We start from the raw sequence: 18756 nt of genomic DNA, 5'->3' as shown, positions 1-18756 counted from the left end.
TTCTGTATTATTTCTTACAACTGCGTATGAATCTATACTTATTTTTTAAAAAGCCTTTGGTGGCACTTTTTTGCCAGTGGAACAAAGGCTAAACCTCTTGGTCTGGGACTCAAGAGGTCCTTCCATATTCTAGCTACCCTACCTGTCTTTTGTCTTCTCATGACTTTGGCTTGGCTGACTTATTTGTTTCTCATCGTACTATGCACTTCTCTTTAAAGTAACCTGTTCTTTTTATTTGAAGTATAACATTGAAGTAAAAAAACTCAAATAATGAAGGTACAGCTTGATGAATTTTCACGATGTGGGCCAGATCAAGAAGTAGGACATTGCCAAGACCCTAGAATCCTCCACCTCCCCCTTTCCAGTAACTACCCTCCAAAGGATAGTTGCTGTCTGATTTTCATCATCATATGTTACTTTTGCCTGTTTTTGAACTTCATATAAGTGAGTTCATGGATTCTTTTTCAACTGGATTCTTTTGTTCAACATGTTGGCTAGATTTACTCATGTTGCAGGTAGCAGTAGTTTGTCTATTATCATTGCTGTATAGTAGTTATTACATTGTGTGAAGAGAATATAATTATACAATTTATACATAATACTGTTGATTATTATGTTGTTTACAGTTTGGAGCTATTTCAAGTAGTTCTGCCACGAATCTTCTTTTGTAAGTCTTTTGGGCCTCATGTGTACTCATTTCACTTGGATATATACCTAGAAGTGGAATTGCTGGGTCCTGGGATATGCACATGCTTCACTTTAGTTAGTAGGTACTGCCAAATAGTTTTCCCAAGTGGTTGCACAAATTCAAACTGCTACCGGAAGCATACGAGAGTTCCTGTTGCTCTATGTCCTTGCCAATCCTTGGCATCATCAGTTTTACTAATTTTAGCCATTCTGGTGGAGTATGGAGCAATAGCTCCTTTTCTAAGACCAGTCGTGGGGGAGTTTCTCCTCCTCCCCCCACAGGAAATGGCTGTGGCTTGTTACTTGGTGTAAGGCTCATGATAGAGCAGAGAGATTTTCTCCTTCTCCTCCAGGGTCAGGTGGCCTGGTTTCTATCCCTTATCCAGGGGCAGGTGGCTTAGTTTCTATCCCTTCTCCAGACAGTGGGTCTTTGCTTAGGCCTTGGGAGTGGGAGGGTAGCCTGCTTCTACCCTTAAGGCTTTGGGTTCTTATAAGGAAAAGTTCTGGAAAATGGGTGGGGTTTCATGCCTATGGGCCAGCAAGGGCTCTCTTGGCTCTTCTGCCTGGCCCAGTCTTTCTTCTGAGCACCTGGTAGGGGTTGTGGAAAAGAGCTGGGAGTATGATCTCCTGTGTCTGGGCTCCCGGGGATTCTCAATTGTCACACCCACCCACACTGGGCTTTTCAGATCTGTTATAATGAATAATTTATTGTATATTTCAAAATAGCTGGAAGAGAAGATTTTGAATGTTCTCAACACAAAGAAATGACAACTGTTTGAGGTGATGGGTATTCGAATTACCCTGGTTTGATCATGTTGTATATGTGTATTCAGAATATCACAAGTACCCCAGAAATATGAACAATAATTATGTATCAATTTTAAAAAAAGAACTTGTTACAGTGTTAGCTCTTCTTCTTTCATATGCAGCCACCGCTTTCTCCAAAGAGGCTCTGGCAAAGGTGGGAGAGTATGTATATTCTGTCTCTATGGAGGGGCTTGTCACTCTGGAATTCAGTTCTCCTGATTGCCTTGTAATCTCGGCTCTCTGATGGGTTAAAGGAAGTTAGGACTGTCTATTGTCTGGCTTTTTTTCTTGTTGATAGAAGGGAAGTAATGTTCTTTTGTGGCTTCTTGCCTCTCACTGTGGTTCTTAACTTGAATTTCTCTGATGTCTAATGAGTTAGAATGCCTTGACGTGTAACAGCCACATCTAGCATTTTTGTGCTCCTTAAATGCCCTTTCCTTTCATTCTTTGCTTATTCCTTCGAGGGTTAGTTAAAGGATCCCTTTTCCTAAGCAGCTGTCCATAACCACTTCTGTGTGCATCTCTCTCCCCCACCAAACCTTGCTCTCTTGTCCCCTCCTTCCCCAGTATTTTGTGTTGTTTGGATTAGACAACTGGGGATTGGGAACAGTACGACTTCTTCCTGGTTTCCGTCTGTTTTCCTAACGACGGTCAGCTGGGAGAAGCAGAGCGGGCGGGTGAGAGGCAGTGTATGTGTCCGGGGTGGATTTTCCTTTGGTCCAGGAGAGGGATAGGGCACAGAGACCACTTCTTCCACCGGAGTTAAGGCTGCGACTCGTTTCTTCAGCAGCAGAGGCAACATTGCTGCTGCTTGCTGTCTGGGAATTCCTGGGAGGGTCCCCTCGTAAATGCCCCAAAGGCCTCCTCCTGGTTTTGGTTGTATCTGTGTTTCTTACCAGGCACTTTTCCTGCCTAATTGAGCCCAAATTGCTGAAAACAAACTTTCTCAGAGTTATTCTCATCCTGCTGGGTATCAGCTTTCCCTAAAACCAAAATTGCTGCTTAGTCTAGACCTGCACGTTATTGTTCTATTTTAGGAGAAGCCCCAACTCACTCCACCCCAGAATAGCAGATGTGGCTGCTCCACACAGGGCTGCCTTTCCCTTCGTCTCCCTTGCAGCTGTGACCCCTTTGTACAGTGTCTGTCCCTGGCGACTTCTGAGCAGACCTCAGCTGCTCTGTTACTACCGAGGGCAGCAGCGAAGATAGAAACAGCCTTTCCAAAGTGACAGAAGAGAAAAATAGCATAAACTTCGGGCATAAAAAAGTGAACCTGAAATGTGAGGTGGTCACAAAGGATCACCTGTGGATCAGGCTGTGTCTAGGTGTGTAGGGTAGGGTGTCCCTCAGTCTTGCTCTTCCTCTGACTCCATGGCCTAGAGTTTCCCTTTCCATTCTGCTGTCCTGCCTGGGCTTCCTGGGTGAGCTGGGAAAGAAAGCACTTTCTGCTTCTAAGATTCTCTCTATTGTGACTTTGGGACAGTGGAGGGCTGGTAAATGTTGTAATAACTGACCCTTCAGGAAAGAGCACCTGCTTTTGCAGTGTTTGCCCATTTCCATTGTGTGAAGACTCCCACCACGGCCGACTTTAAGCTACTAACACGATATCCCAACACACAGTTGGGGAAAGATTCCAAACAGCACACAATTATACAGGGCTTCCGTAGTACAGGTGAAATGCATGTAAATAACCTTCAGGCAGAGATCAGCGGTTGGCAAATTACAGCCTGTAGGTCAGATCTGACCTGTGGCTTGTTTTTGTGCAGCCCGTGAGCTAAGATTGGTTTTTATATTTTAAAAAGGTTAAAAAAACACACAACAGTGTGACAGAGATTGTCTGTGTCCCTCAAAGCCTAAAATATTACCTGTCCCTTTACAGAAAATTTCACTGACCCCTGGCATAGATAATAGTGAACCGTAGTAAAATAATTAGGAAGTAAGGAATTTGAGCACATTTACTGTTGGTTTTTGGTGTAATGTATTTAATTGTAAATGTATGTTTACATCTAGTTTTTAATTTTAAAATGCATATTTATATTTATTTTTTCTAATGGATGTGCTTAACTCCAGCCTCACAAAATTCCCCCCAATTTAACAATTGGTTTTCACAAGCCAGTAAAAATTACTTGAGCACACCACTGCTTCAAGGGCCATTGCTGGAAGGTTCTTCAGTCCAATCTCTTCACATTGTAAATGGGGAAACTGAGGCCCAAAGAAGAGAATGGTTTACTCAATTTGCTACTTGGCAAATTAGTGACAGTCAGGTTTCCTAACCTGCAATTCTGCTATCTTTGCTCATTTGATGCTGCCCAGTAAACACCCACGGTTCCCTTTATTTTTCTTTTTTCTTTTTCTTGAGACAGAGTCTCGCTCTGTTGCCCAGGCTGGAAGTGCAGTGGCGAGATCTGGGCTCACTGCAAGCTCCGCCTCCTGGGTTCACGCCATTCTCCTGCCTCAGCCTCCCGAGTAGCTGCGACTACAGGTGCCCACCACCACGCCCGGCTAAGTTATTGTATTTTTAGTAGAGACGGGGTTTCAGCATGTTAGCCAGGATGGTCTAGATCTCCTGACCTCGTGATACGCCCACCTTGGCCTCCCAAAGTGCTGGGATTACAGGCGTGAGCCACCGTGCCTGGCAGTTCCCTTTTTCTTGCCATGACCTCTTGGACCCGATTTCTTTTGCTACCTGAGGTGGCCAGTGGGCACCACATGGGAGGAGCTGGCCCGCGATCCCCACAAAGCACAGCCTCAGCACAGGCTCACCCTGAGGACTCTTGCCCCCCACGAAACCATGACCCTGTTCAATTTACTGATATTTTCCTTTTTCTGTTTACTTTGAGGATAAATATTCTTTCTGTCTTCCCTGGATTGTTGCCCTGGGTATTTTCTCAAGCCCTGACTTTTTATGCAGTCTGATCTTGGCTTCTTTGGACAGAATGGGTGTTCTTGGATTAGCCTCCTTGATCCACCCACCTCCACTTTGGACTTTGCACTGAGCACTCTTTGTGCTAAATCATTGTTCTCGGCAGACTCAGACCCCCATTTATGGTGACAGAACCTGATGCCTTCTGAGGGGCGAGGCAGGGGTGGGGAAGAGGCTGGCCTGAGGAAGCCAGGAGACTGCCAATGTCAGGATCTCGGCGAGTGGCCGGGGCTGTGTACCCTGTGAGAGAGAGTGGGGGAGAAAGAAAGAGATGATCACTGGCTTCCTGAGTCTCACAAAGCCCGCCTGAGCTTCCTGTGCTTTTGGGGTGTTGCAGATATCTCCAGGAATCTTAAGATCAAGTCTCACATGACCCAAACATTTAAGGGGATTCCAGCTCCCTGTGACCAGTCCCTGATGAAAACACTGGAAATCTCAAAATCCTCATACACTGGGAGCAGTGGAGGTGCGGAGAGGCAGCCCTGTGCAGAGCAGGCACCTTTCCTGCCACGTCCCCCGGCTGCTGCTGGAGCCACGGAGAGCTCCGTTTCAGCATGCCTCTTGCCTTCTGTTGTCTTTTCTTCTCTCCACAGAGTGGGTGAATGACATGTTGTTGTTATGGTGCAATCATTGCTGCCAAAGTCAAGGAGCAATGACAGATATTGGCTTGATTTTTTATGTAATTTAAGGTACCAAAAGAGGAAGTGAAAAATTATAAAAGATCCCATATAAAATATAGAATTAAAAATCCTAAAGAAAGACATTGTATGTTTATTTCTGTAGAGTGAAATTAAATTTCCTTGAATCGGCAGATAGAACAGATCATTTGGGAAAGCACCCACATCTGGCACTGAAAAACCAGCAGGGATATTATAAACTTACTTGTTTGACGTCGTTAAGATATCAAAATGGTATTAAAAAAATTTGTAAAAAATGTATCTAGAATTCTACTTCCCTGTAAATAGTATTTTCATTTTGCCTGGTGTCTTGCCTACTGTGATTTACATAATTTAACACAGTTATGTTCATAATATATATACCCATTTTTCAGTCATGAAAACCTTCTATGTTGCTACAGTCTATAATATTTTAATTTTTGTTGTTGAATAATATTGTCACAGTTTGCTTCATTTTTCCTTTATAATTGATATTTAGCTTGCTTCCAGTTTTTGGAATCACAATGAACAACACAGCGAACACTTTTTTAGTTTTGATTTTAAAATTAGCAAGTAAAATTTCTCAGCATGAATCCCCAGGAGTAGGATTATGGGGTAACCTGAAAAGGCTGGCACTGTGGAAGGAGAACTGGCTTTAGAGTCAGAAGGCTTGAGATTGACCACTGATCTACTACCTGTGTGATCTTGGGCAACTTCCTTAAAGTCACTGAGCTAGTGTTTTCTCATCTGTAAACTTGATTTGTATTATATCGTACTTCATGAGATATGTGAGTACCAGCATGTAGTAATTATGCTCAAATGAGCGAGTTTCGGCAGAAAGGGAAAGACGTTTTTATTCTTCTTGATCCACGTCATCAGATTCCTTTGCAGAAGGTAGATTCATCACTGACGTAATGAGTCGATGCAGCTTTCAGTGCAAACTCACCAGCAATGAATTTTCTGATTTCAAAGGTCAACATAATACGTTACAAAAAGGTACTTAGGGAAGTGAGTAAAAGAAATGCTTAGATAGTAAAAGGTTAAAATCACAAAAGCAGGCAAAGCACAAAGCACAGCATGGCATTACTGACTGAAATAAGAGAAAGGATCAGAGAGAACGGGGTGTGGTGGAGGAAGGGAGTCAGTATTTTCCTCTGTGTCTCTAACCTTTGTCAGGTGGCTGAGGGTGGGCTGCCATGGGGGCATTCAACACTTCGCTTCCTCTAGATGGGCACTCTAGCTTTTTCCCTGGTCTTGGCAGATGCTCCCTGACTCAGTTCTCTTTCTCTGGCCTCCATCCTTAGGGGAACAGATGTATTGCAGGGAGAGAACAATGTCTTCATTGTAAGTCCAGCTGCCACAGAGAACTCCCTGCTCCCTTCCACACCACAGGGACTGCCCCCCAGTCTGCCAGAGCCTCCAGCCCACTCCTCTGCCCACTCAGGCTTAGCCCTGCCAGACCCTGAGGGGCAAATAATGCCTGACTGTTTCCTTCTCTTTGCGGGACAGTCCACCTCACTGTGCCCATCTCTGTCTCAGGAGGGCAGGGCTGTCTATACAGGTGGGTCCTTGGCATTGGAAACAGAGATAGCCACTTATGTTCCAGGGGACCTGGTTGAAGTGACCCTGGCCTATCCTTTCCCCTTGGGAGGCTTCAGTGGTGTTGACAGTGAATTGAAAGGGAGTCATCAGAGAAACTCTGGTGAGCCCTAAGCTTCAGAACCGCTCTTCTGGAAACTTCCATGGTCCCTACAACAGCAGTCCTTACAAAGCACCCACGCTGTGGACTGAAGGAAACGGTCATCTCTGCATCAGGCAGTTGATTTAAAATCAGGTTGATTTAAATACTTTCTGAGGTGGGGAGAGGATTTCTTCCACTTTGATGGTGCTCTTTATTCTACAAAGCCTATTTCCATCTGTTCTCTATGAGGGAGCAGGACTGTAAATGGGGAAACTAAGGCCCACGGATGGCGAGTAGTTAATAAGTGTGGGAGCTGGAACTTGGGAATCCAGGCCATTGGTCTTCTGGGTAAAAGTGTATTCTTCCCACTCTGACGCACAGAGCTTGGTAAAGAGGATGTGGGGAAGCAAGGGGAGGGGTCAGTAGGCAGGACAACCCCAGGGATGTGGATGGGGTCCCGGGGCAGGTGCCTGGAGGGGCTCTGCCAACAGTAGAGCTCCCCTGGGAAGGGGTTATGGAGTGGAAGTGACACAGGATTCTCTGATTTCTTCTAAGGTTGGATTGCACCACAGTTTCTTTTTGGTTTCCCATGACCCTCCCTCTTCTGGGGTTTCTCTGGTTTCTGGTTCTTGGGACTGAGAGGGCTGTTTCAAGCTGAGCGTGCTCAGCAGGTGTGTGGGCCTTTGTGAGAAGCCAGGGACTGGGGGCAGCTGCTCAGGATGGGATTGTACTGGCAGCGGATCCCAGGTCACCTGCGTTAGAGATTGACAGCGTATGCTTCTCTCTTCTATTGGACCCTCAGCGCTTCTCCCTTCTAGGTCCTCCCCTTGAGTATCATTTAAAAAGCAAAATCTTCCTGCTCAATCATTTTCCATGGCTACCCATTCACTGAGGGAAAGTACTGTTCCTGTAAGATGATGCACAAGGTCTTTCTGGACCTGTACTGGGCCTTAGCCCCTGCCCTCCTCCCCACTGCCTTTTCCCGAGTCCCACCCAATCCTGTGCTCCCACCATGCAGAACCTTATCAGGTTTCCTAAGTGTAGCGCATTGCTCCATGCCTCTGTGCTTTTCTCCACACTGTCCCTCTGCCTGGAGTACCTTTCCCTCCATATTTGCCTGTAGAGTTCCTATTCACCCTTGAAGATCCTGGTCAAGGAAACCTTTCTACCTCAGGGGAGCATCCTGTGATCCCCTCCTGGTCCTTCTGCCACCATTGCCCCTATTATAGCATGACTACTCTGTTTAGTTTTTGCTTCTCCAGACCAAGCATTCTTGGAAGACAGAGGAGATAAGCTGGAATCATTTTGGTGTCCCTTGGTGGTCCCCTTTGGGGACCATTTTGATTCCCCCAAACGATCAGAGGAATCATTTTGTCCCCTGGCACCAAGCCTAAGTCAGAAGGCTCGTTGAGTGATTGGTCAAGGGGTTTTCCCTGGGCATCTGCACACGTTCCCTCCTAGTGGCTCCGGTCCATGTTCACACCGTAGCTAGAATATTCTTTTAAAAACATAAATGGTGCCATATCCCTCATCTGCTTAAAACCCCTCGGGGGCCTCCTGATGCATTCAGGATAAAATCTTTATCATGGTGTCTCTTGACTCCTTCTGATCTCATTACTGTCAATGGAACCATAATGAGCCTTTCAGTTTCTGGAATGTTCTTTCCTGCCTTAACACCTGCAATACTGTCTCTTCTACTTAGGGTGCTATTCCCTCACTTCTGACATGAAAGAGCAGCCTGCCTCTGCCTCAGCCTACCTAACCTATGAATGGCAACCCCTGGGTTCTGGTGGCTGAACTCTATGAGCCATGTGATTGCTTAATGCTAAAGCTTACACCTGTGTGCCCATGACCTGTGTTGACTTAAAGTCATGAGATCTATACATCGGGAAAGGAGAGCTTAATTTCTTATAAAAGGTTGCAGCTGCAGGCTCGCCACCTGCAGGCTGGGAAGCATAGCCTCCAGCAAAAAACAAAAGCAAGCACTTGGAAGGAGGAAGGCTAAGACAGGAATTTACACTGAACAGGTTGGCTAAGTATACATATTCAACAGGTTATAGGAAGAACTGTGAATATTCATGAAGGGGTGTGCATGCATAGTAAGCAAACATGCATGTTACATATGTCCCATGTTCACTTTGGGTTGGAGACTTAACATTTAAATGCAGTGAATTTAGGCTCCATAAGTCAAAAGGGAAAACGGAGGACACAGAAGTGTCCCTGTGTGCAGCCTCCATGGACTGGCCAGAATCAGTCTGTGGTCAGTGGTCTCTTATCAGGAAGGAATGCTGGTCAGTTGCTGTGCCAAAACCACAAAAATGGCGAGGAGTCCAGCCACAGCATCAGGTGGTTGGTGGAAATCAGCAGTGGAGCAAATCTTTTGAAAGGGCTGGTTTCAGCTGAACTCTGGGAAAGAAAGTCTAATGGTGTTTAGTGAGGGAGGGGGCACAGCAAGGCCTGTCTGACCTCCTCTCCCACCCTGTCATGGCCAAGAGCTCAGTTTGTAAGTTTCTTTGTGGTCTCCTTGGCCAAAAGGGGGGTCCATTCAGTTGGTTGGGAGGGTTAGGATTTTATTTCTCACCTGCATTGGTTTTCACCCTTAAAAAAATGAAGAGACATAAAGTGTGCAGGATCCCTGAGGATAAATTGTCAAGGGAAAGAAAGAGATCAGACTCTCATCAGATAGACCTGCATTCAGATCCTGGCCCCACACTTATTTTTGGCACTATGGGCAAAGTGACTTGATCTCTTTAACCACAGTTTCCTTACCTTTAAATGGGGTTAATAATGCTTCTTGCTTCATGGTGTCATCATGAGATTTGAAATAATGTGTATAATGCAGTTTAGCACAGTTCTGGTCACATAGTAAGCACTCAATTTTATTTATTGTTAATTTACTGTAAGGCAGCATATATAAATATATAAATGAGCATTTATTTAAAATAACTTCAGAATCTTTCCTTCCTCCCATTTTTTTCTTTTTTCTTCTTCCCTCCTTCTTTCTCTCTCTTTTATCTCCCCCTACCCCATAGTTTGTTTCTTTCAAGCATTTAACAAACGTTATTGGGTGCCTACAGAGTGCCAGGCAATATCCCAGAGCCTGGGAAAAGATTTCAGAGAGAAGAATGTGTGTTTTGTTGTCTTCCCTTGCTCATGTCCCAGAGTGAACTTTGAATTTGTCTATATGACTTAGCCTCAAATGACAGGCCCAGCAAATCTGGGAGGTGGGGGAGGGCTGTGTGGGGCTGAGAAGGGTTTCAGCTGGGTCTGCCTCCCCTTATTCCAGCTCTGCTCCACCCATGGCCCAGCAGGAAGCCTCCACTTGTGATATGAAAATGCCCTTTCAATAGCTCAGTGTGGAAGCTCAGATGTTGGTAACAGTTGCTTAATTTTAAGAACCAGAATGTATTCTGCCAAGTTGTGATCCCACTGGACCTCCAAGCAGTTTGAACTTGGAGTGAAATCCAAACCATGAAGGCTTAAACTCTTGAAACTGGGGAAAAAAAAAAAAAAAAAAAGATTTCGAGGTTTAAAGCAAAAAGCTTCACCAGGCTCCAGGATGAAGGAGTTTATCCAAAATATAACCATCCAAAAATAATACTCTGAAGTTTTATTAAAAAAAATCAGAGACCTATGGGTGAAACTTCTTTTATAACGGAATTATAAAGAAGGTATAGTGTGGGGGGAATGGGTCTTTTTCAAGAACATTAAAGGAAGAGTTGTTTCCTGATGTCAACTTCTCGGAGAAAAGAAAATGCTTTTTGTTTTTGAACATGATAGATTTTCTATGGCCAATGAATTTACAAGTTTGAATCCCCAGTTGTATTGCTAATATGGATTTCATAATTAACCTCTCTGGGGTTGGACAGGCCTTAAAATGAGCTACAGCAAAGACTGTTTGCGTAGTTCAAAGCAGACTTGGAGGATCACAAACAAACAGTGATTATGAAGGGCAGTTACGCTGATGTAATATTAATAGTTCCTTCTCATCCTTCGGGCTGCAAATCCCATTTCAGCTTCTCTGTAAAGCATTCCTTACTCCTCTTCCCCTCAGCCCCGTGTCCCCTGACTTTCCCATCGATTTCCCCTCCTTATTTCAGCCAGCTACCCATTCTTTCATTGCTCCGCAAGACCTGCTCATTCATCCTCTCTCCTTCCCCAGTCTGCTGCCTTAAAAACCCACCCCTAGGGTTCTGGCCCCACAATGCCTGAAATATTTGGGGAGAGAGTGGTGCGGAGTTCTAGCTAGTCTAAGACTATTTAAAATCCGAGGAGTTTTTCCCTCGGACACCACTCTGAGTTACAGGAGTTTCTTAGTCCATCTGCCTGGTTGTGGGGAGAAATGAGGATACAGAGAAGAAAGGATACAGAGGTTCTTGCGGGGGAATCACTGGCTAGAGTAGGAAGGCTCTAGAGGGAGGGACCGCATATTGTAGAGCTGGTCTAAGAGGGTCAGACGTGGCTCAACCAGCCTTCCAGGTCATCTAGTGGGGAAGAGAGAAGAGCTTACAGGAGATGGCTCTTCTGGCTTCAGAGTCTCCTTGGACCATGGGAGCAGTGAGGCTTGGGGCCTTAGGAAGATCTGCCTGGGTGCAGGGGCGGCTCAGCAAGTGGGGACCAGGAGCTTGTGCTTCAGGCTCAGTCATGGCTGCTCTAGCAGTGGGGCCCATGAACCCAACTTGATAGGATTGGAAGTTCCTGGAGCAGTAGGAACTAAAACCACGGGGGATTCCTGGGGTGGTGGGCTTAGCCTGGGACAAGAAAGGGAGAAGCTTGTATCCCTAAGGTAGGATCCATCCTGTTTTGTGGCTTTGGATTCAAGAACCACGGTTAATTCCAAGAAAGGCCCATCTATGGAGCCCTCTGTTGAATCTGTCCAGGAAGCTTACAGATGGGCATGGGCAGAGGAGAAGAATGCACATCTCTTGGGTTAGAATTGTGGCTTCAGGAAAGAACTCCAGTGGGAGAGTTTTATAGTAGTACCAAACGTGGCTTTAAAACAGGTTCTCAGTTTCTTTGTCACTCCACCCATCAGAAGGTGGAATCTAATTCTCCCCATGGATGCTGGCTGGCCATTGGTGACTCACTGCCTTTTTTTTTTTTTCATATGGAGTTTTGCTCTTGTTGCCCAGACTGGAGTGCAGTGGCGTGATCTTGGCTCACTGAAACCTCCGCCTCCAAGGTTCAAGCGATTCTCCTGTCTCAGCCTGCTGAGTAGCTGGGACTACAGGCACGTGCCAACATGCCCGGCTAATTTTTTGTATTTTTAGTAGGGGCGGAGTTTCACCATATCGGCCAGGCTGGTCTCAAACTCCTGACCTCAGGTGATCTGCCCGCCTCGGCCTCCCAAAGTGTTGGGATTACAGGTGTGAGCCCCCGAGTGTGGCTGGTGACTCACTTCTAACTAGTAGAATGTGGCCGAAGGGATGCTGCATGATTTCTGAGGCTAGGTCTGAAAAGGTGGTACAGCTACTCCTTACACTCTTCTTGGGACGTTCACCCTTGGAACCCAAGCTGCCATGTTGTTAGGAAGTCCAGGCCACAAGAAGAAGCCATGTGTAGAGTAGGTGTTCCAGCTGACAGCACCAGCTACGATCTCAGCTGAAAGCCAGCCTCAAACTTCCAGACACTAAATGGGAATGTTCCCCCTGCCACTCCACTGTACCTGTCCAAATTGCAGATCTGTGAATGAAATAAATGTTGCATTATTTTAAGCCACCAAATTTTGGGGTAGTTTGTTACATAACAATAGGGAATGAAAACACCAAATCCCGTAGTTCCCTGGCTTCTCTCATTTCTTTTTTTTTTTTTTTTTTTTTGAGATGGAGTCTTTCTCTGTTGCCCAGGCTGGCCAGGCTGGAGTGCAGTGGTGTGATCTCGGCTCGCTGCCAGCTCCACCTCCCGGGTTCACGCCATTCTCCTGCCTCAGCCTTCTGAGTAGCTGGGTCTACAGGCACCTGCCACCACGCCTGGCTAATTTTTTGTATTTTTAGTAGAGACGGGGTTTCACCGTGTTAGCTAGAATGGTCTCAATCTCCTGACCTCATGATCTGCCCGCCTCAGCCTCCCAAAGTGCTGGGATTACAGGCCTGAGCCATCGTGCCCAGGTTGGCTTCTGTCATTTCTTTGTCACATAGGTTTGTTGTTTGTCCCCCCACAGAAGAAGGGTTCAGTAAATCATGGCATGCCCAAAATATGCAACATTTTGCAGCCATTACAAATGCTGTTTCTGAAAAATTTCTAACAGCTTGGGAAAATGTTTTGTATTTATAATATTGAGTTTTTAAAATCAGATGAAATTGCATGTATAATAGAATCCCAATTTTGTTTTAAAAACATGTGCATAGGAAAAGAACTAGTAAGAAATGTACCTACATGATGGAAGTAATGGGATTATGTCCATTCAAAACTTTTTATCATGAGTATGTTTTCATAATCAGAAAAATGGTTACATTTAAAAAAGATCGATTCCTTTCCTTTTCTTACATTAAGCATGATGTTATTTTCTCATTCTTCGTTTCTAGTTGCCAACTATGCATAAATGGAGAATTTGTGTTCACTCCAGGAAACCGTTCCAAATAGATAATAGTAATTGAAAAATTGGCTTTGTCAAAACTCATGTTGAATAAATGGGCTTTTAGTACGACCTTTCAAAAGTTAGTCTTTTTAGTCCTCCCTTCTTCGCTTGTCTCTTCTTTTATACAAGCTTGACTCTGAACCCTATTTCATCCCATTGAGTGTCAAAGGCTTCTTGAAACGTTAAGCTTTCTGGAACAGTCTCTAGGAGTGGCCTCCTTGTCCTGCTCTCATTCCCATTCCCAAACTTATGATTTCTTGCTCTGGAATTGTATCTCTAAAAGGTACATGGACTGTGTTAAATTAGCCTCCAGATGAGAGTGCACGCACTCTCTCTCTCCCCAGCCCTAAGTCAACTTTGTAGTCCAGGAGATAGTATAATGGAGTCCAAGAATGTTAGATCTGGAAGAAACCCCACAGATTATCTAATTCCACCCCCTTCTTCCAAAAAGAAAGAAATCAAGCTCAAGTTCCAAGGGGTTTAAATGGCATTTCCAAGATGATACAATAGAATGATAAAAAATTAGCACCAGGGCCAAGTTTTTCCATCTGTTTTGGGGCAGCAGAGCCTGATAGAAAGAACGAGCATGTTGGTACCAAATGCTCATTTCTACTCTGCCAAATAATGACTATAAAGTTGGGCAAAGATACTTCATCTCTCCTAGCCTCAGTTTTCCCTATCTGTAAAATGAGAATAGTGTATACCTTGCAGAACTGACGTGATATTAGAAATACTATATTTCATCTTCCTTTTAGATCATCAGAGACAAAGTTGTTATTGCTGGGTTTTCTTTGAGCCAGTACCTTCTTCAGGTGAATTGATTCAGGGATTATTGATACAGGCAGCTGTTCTCCCAAGAAACAAATTTGGCATTTTTAAGGCCCACAGTTTTAAACACCTGAGTTAAAGAATATCTTTCCCAGGTGGAGCCCATGCTCCCCCAATCTGTCCACTTCACTCCTAACCACCTGGTGGCTGGCCACTGCCCCTTGATTTCCTTTGGACACTGGCTGCAACCCTGTTCCCCTCCCACAGAACATGGCTTACTTTACTTCTCAACCCATCTTTTAACAAAATTCCTTTCCTTTTTCTTTTGTATCTTCTGCCACATGTGAATTACCTCAGGAAATCTTTTTTTCTTTTTATTTTATCCATAAATTAAAAAATTCCCGAAGTTCTGGAAGACACATACAATGATACTTACGGTCACGATTCACTTGTGTGCAAGAAAATGAAATCCACATGTTTTTTAGTGTTATTAGGTTATAGTAAAATGACATGATTGAAAGCGAAGTAACATTTTTCATCTGTTAGATTGGCAAGAATAACAAAGGCTTATTTATTATTGATAAAGGTGAGGGGAAACTTGTATTATTACATAATTTGGTCAAAGTGATTATTGCTATAGCCTCTTTGGAGAGCATTTTGCTGTATCTCTAAAAATAAAATATTTATCCTTTATTCATATACATGCACAAAGAGACATGTCCAAGAATGTTCACTAAAGTACTATTTACAATATAAAAAATTAGAAGCAACTTATTAACGGTTTCTTAGTAAGGAAATGATTAATTATGATTCGTTCATTTTATGGAATATTCTGAAGCTGTAAAAAATAACTATGTCTGTGTCTGCCAACAGATCTTAGCCATTGTTATGTGAAAACGGCAAGCTGATGAACACTATGTGTGGTGTAATACCATTTATAATAAAGTCATCCCTTAGTATCCTTGGGGTACTGGCCCCAAGACCCTCTCAGATACCAAAGTCTGAGGATGCTCAAATTCCTTATATAAAATGGTATAGTATTTGCATATAATCTATGCACATCTCCTGTATACTTTAAGTCATCTCTAGATTACATATATATTTACTGCAATGTAAATGCTATGTAAATAGTTGTTATACTGTATTGGGTAAAAAAATTTGTATTTTTTTTATTGTATTGTTATTTTTTTACCATTTTTCTTCTGAGTATTTTTGATTTGTGGTTGGTTAAATCCATGGATGTGGAACCCGTAGATACAGAAGGCCTACTGTATATAATTTTATGAAAAAGATGTAGAAGGATATGCTCCAAATGGGTAAAGAGAGGTTATTTTGGGGAGAAAAGTGGGTTTTTTCTTTGGAAAATGTTTTAATGTAAAGGATTTTTTCTACTTGAAAAATTTAAAAATAATATTTTAAAATTAAATTATGACTAAAAACATAAAAACTCTTCATGTGACTTTGATGTCCATGCAACACATCATAATCTGTAATCTGCTGTGTAACAAAGTATCTCAAAATTTAGCATTATAAAACAACACATTTTGTTGTGCACACTTTCTTTGGGTCAGGAATCCAGGCATGGCTTACCTAGGTCTTCTGCTTTAGGATCTCTGAAAAGGCTGCAATCAAGGTATTGGCTGGGGCTTTGGTCTCATCTCAAGGCTTGACTGGGGAAGGATCTGCTTCTAAGCTCACTTCCACATGGTTGTTGGCAGGGTTCAGTGCTTCATAGGCTGTTGGACTGAAGGCCTCTGTTTCTTAATGGCTGTTGGTCAGAGGCCATCCTCGGTTCCTTGCCATGTGATCCTTTCCAATATGGTGGCTTTCTTCCTCAAAGTGTGCAAACTGAGAAGGCAATAGAGCATGCCAGTAAGATAGAAGTCATAGTGTCTTGTATCCTAATTATGAATGTGACATACCATGATTTTGCTGTAATCTATTCATTAGAAAAAGATCACTAAGTCCAGTCCACACCCAAAAGGAGGCAGTAGACAGGTGCATGAATAACAGGAGGAGGAATCATCTGGAGCCCTGTAGACGCTGCTTACTGCAGAAACCATTGACTTAGGTAATTGAGGAAAAAAAAAATCTAAAAATGAACTTGTTTTTCTCAAGCACCATCATTTAGATTTTTAATTTGCTAGTTCAATTGTACTTTCAACTTTAGTTATAATAATTAAACATTTTTATACCTCATCTCTTAAGCAATGTCTTTTACATTGGTCAAATACACTTTTGTGGAATCCAGTCATCCTTTTAGTCAGAATTTCTGTAGGAAAATGCATCTTGGGTTTGGTAGAGCACTTCCACAGATTGTTGTAACATCACCCACTTGGAAACTGGGGGCACAGGACCACTCAATCCAGAGATTAAGAAAAGATCAAATATACTTTGAAATCTTTTTCTTGCTTCGTAATTTGCTTGCAATGGGTATCTGTTTCAGTTAGCTGTGCTGTACGAATACAACCCTAAACACAATGGCTTAAAACAATGGCCATTTTATTGTTGTTCATGAGTGAGTGGTTGACTGGGTAGTTTCGCAGTCAGCTGGCCAGTGGGCTAGGGCTGGATGGCCTAGGAGGACCTCACTGACATGTCTAGGGGTTGGTAAGCCATCAGATGGGACACTCCTCTCTGCTTCGCATGGTCTCTCATCTTCCAGTAAGCTAGCCTGGGCTTCTGCACATAGTGGTCTGAGGGTAACAAGTAAGGGGAAATCTCATTGGTCAAAGAAAGTTACATATTCAAGCCTGGAGTCAGTATAGGAGGGGACTTCCTGAGGGATGCTTGATTCATTAGGGGCCATTACCGTACATTACTACCACTATGCCATATAGTTTTCAAGATCTTTGGTCATTTCTGTGGTCTGTACTATTTTGTTAAGCATAGCCACCAAAGGATATGAATCTTGTCAACCAGTAAAAGAGTAGCTACAATTTTAGATCTCACCAGGGAGTGCAGCTCATTAAGGATGGATGGAACCAACCTTTTCCAAAGTTCAGCCAGGACTGTTTTCGTTTAAGGAAGTAACTCTGAGTGAGGTTTCATCCGTTTATCCCTATACTCTGAACTATGTCCCCATAGTAGTAAAGACCAATCAGCATTAACATGCATACCTGAGCTGCGTTAACTCAGCTGCCTGCAAGACAAAGGCACCACTGAGTAACAGTTTAATGTCATGCCTTAACTCTTATTCATGACTGATACGAGAAATGACCATGGGAAGTAATCGTATCTGTATACCTTTAGTAAAATCAATGTGGGGGATGTTATTGGAGATGATTTTCAGTGTCTCTCATATAAAGTGTCAAGTGATAGATTCCCACCACAAATTAGTATAAGGAAAATTCATGTTTCACTTGATAAACGGTAACCAATCTTCCTTTAAAAGGCAATAAGAAGTCTATAACTTCCTCTGCCCCCTGCCAACCCTTTGTTGGTGTTGGAGGCTGGAAATAGCTAAGTAATGTTTTGTTACAGTAACTCTATTAGCCTTATTGGCTCTGGGTGTTTTTTTTTTTTTTTTTTTTTTAAAGACAGGGTCTTGTTCTGTCCCTCAGGCTAGAGTGCAGTGGCGTGACCTTGGCTCACTGCAGCCTCAATCTCCTGGGCTCAAGCAATCTTCCCACCTCAGCCTTATGAGTAGCTGGGACTACAGGTGTGTACTACCATGCTTGGCTAGTTTTTGTATTTTTTTGTAGAAATGGGGTCTCACTGTGTTGCCCAGACCTAGTTCTGAGCTTTTGATACATATATTTTCCTTCTACCAGATGACATCTTTGTGTTTTGATGATCCTAATTTTTTGAGAAACATTAGTGGGTTAAAATTACAAATACATGAATCAACAAATAAACATATTCGGTTCTGCTGCCAACAAGTTTTTCAGTCATTTAAAAAATAATTCTCCCATATGTATAAGATGTTGGAATACATTTGGACTATGTGATATTTAAAGTCCCTTTGCTCTTAATGATTCCAAAACTGTTTCTTCTGTGACTCTCCCGCTCGAACACTTTATACTTCATGAGGCATTCCAGCTATTAAATGTCTTGCATGGCTCAGTAGAAAAAGAGGTAGATTCAGACTTGTTTCCATGTGGTTGAAGACTTTTTCAAACATCTTGTGTTTGACAAAATATGAATGTGGGCAAGCTTTTTGTCCCTTGTGTCTAAAACACAGGTGTATGGTATTCCCAGGGAACCATAAAGTGTGTGGTATTGATTTCTAGTACAACTCACTCACAGTGCTCATCAAAACCCATTAGACGCCCAAAAAACCTTTATGGCTTGACATATACAAAGACTTACGTTTGATTTGCTTTTTAAAATAACTTTGATGCTAGCGTGGCCAAAAGGCAACTATGGACTCAAAAGTGTTTTGAAATTCAGTCGAACACCTTCCTAATAGTAATGAGGGGTGATTTAGCTTTTAGACACTATTCTGGGATTTCATTGTTTAGGTTGGTTGATTTGCTGTAAGGAAACACTTTTGAAAAAGGGACTTATTAGAGTTTTATATGAAAGCGTGATATAAAATATAGAACCCCTACAGGGTTATTCCCATAGGATTTATTAATTGCTGCTATAGAAGCAGAAGGAAATACTATTTGAAGGTGGTATAACCTAACCGTTAAGACAGTGGTCCCTAACCCTT

The 18756-nt window shown here is 43.1% G+C and overlaps 4 annotated features.

Moving 5' to 3' along the window:
• Nucleotides 5337–6536: an enhancer, noted in NCBI's record as "P300/CBP strongly-dependent group 1 enhancer chr9:111541867-111543066 (GRCh37/hg19 assembly coordinates)". NCBI's record gives its function as "activates an origin of replication core promoter dependent on BRD2, BRD4, P300/CBP, MED14 and CDK7 cofactors, with strong dependence on P300/CBP, by STARR-seq in HCT116 cells {active_cell/tissue: HCT116}" and the evidence as "EXISTENCE:reporter gene assay evidence [ECO:0000049][PMID:35650434]".
• Nucleotides 8980–9274: a silencer, noted in NCBI's record as "tiled region #10106; K562 Repressive DNase unmatched - State 19:H4K20". NCBI's record gives its function as "represses a minimal TATA promoter and a strong SV40 promoter by Sharpr-MPRA in K562 cells {active_cell/tissue: K562}" and the evidence as "EXISTENCE:reporter gene assay evidence [ECO:0000049][PMID:27701403]".
• Nucleotides 9854–9998: an enhancer, noted in NCBI's record as "145 bp enhancer 53 fragment used in the MPRA reporter construct; PK_construct_1579". NCBI's record gives its function as "activates an SV40 promoter by MPRA in HepG2 cells {active_cell/tissue: HepG2}" and the evidence as "EXISTENCE:reporter gene assay evidence [ECO:0000049][PMID:23512712]".
• Nucleotides 9919–9932: a transcriptional cis regulatory region, noted in NCBI's record as "HNF4 motif; enhancer activity is reduced when this motif is scrambled". NCBI's record gives its function as "necessary for full MPRA enhancer 53 activity {active_cell/tissue: HepG2}" and the evidence as "EXISTENCE:site-directed mutagenesis evidence [ECO:0005528][PMID:23512712]".

The sequence above is a fragment of the Homo sapiens genome, chromosome 9, assembly GCF_000001405.40.
Source record: "Homo sapiens chromosome 9, GRCh38.p14 Primary Assembly".
Taxonomy (NCBI): domain Eukaryota; kingdom Metazoa; phylum Chordata; class Mammalia; order Primates; family Hominidae; genus Homo; species Homo sapiens.
The sequence above is the reverse complement of the archived record's forward strand: the minus strand, read 5'-3'. Positions and strand labels throughout refer to the sequence as shown.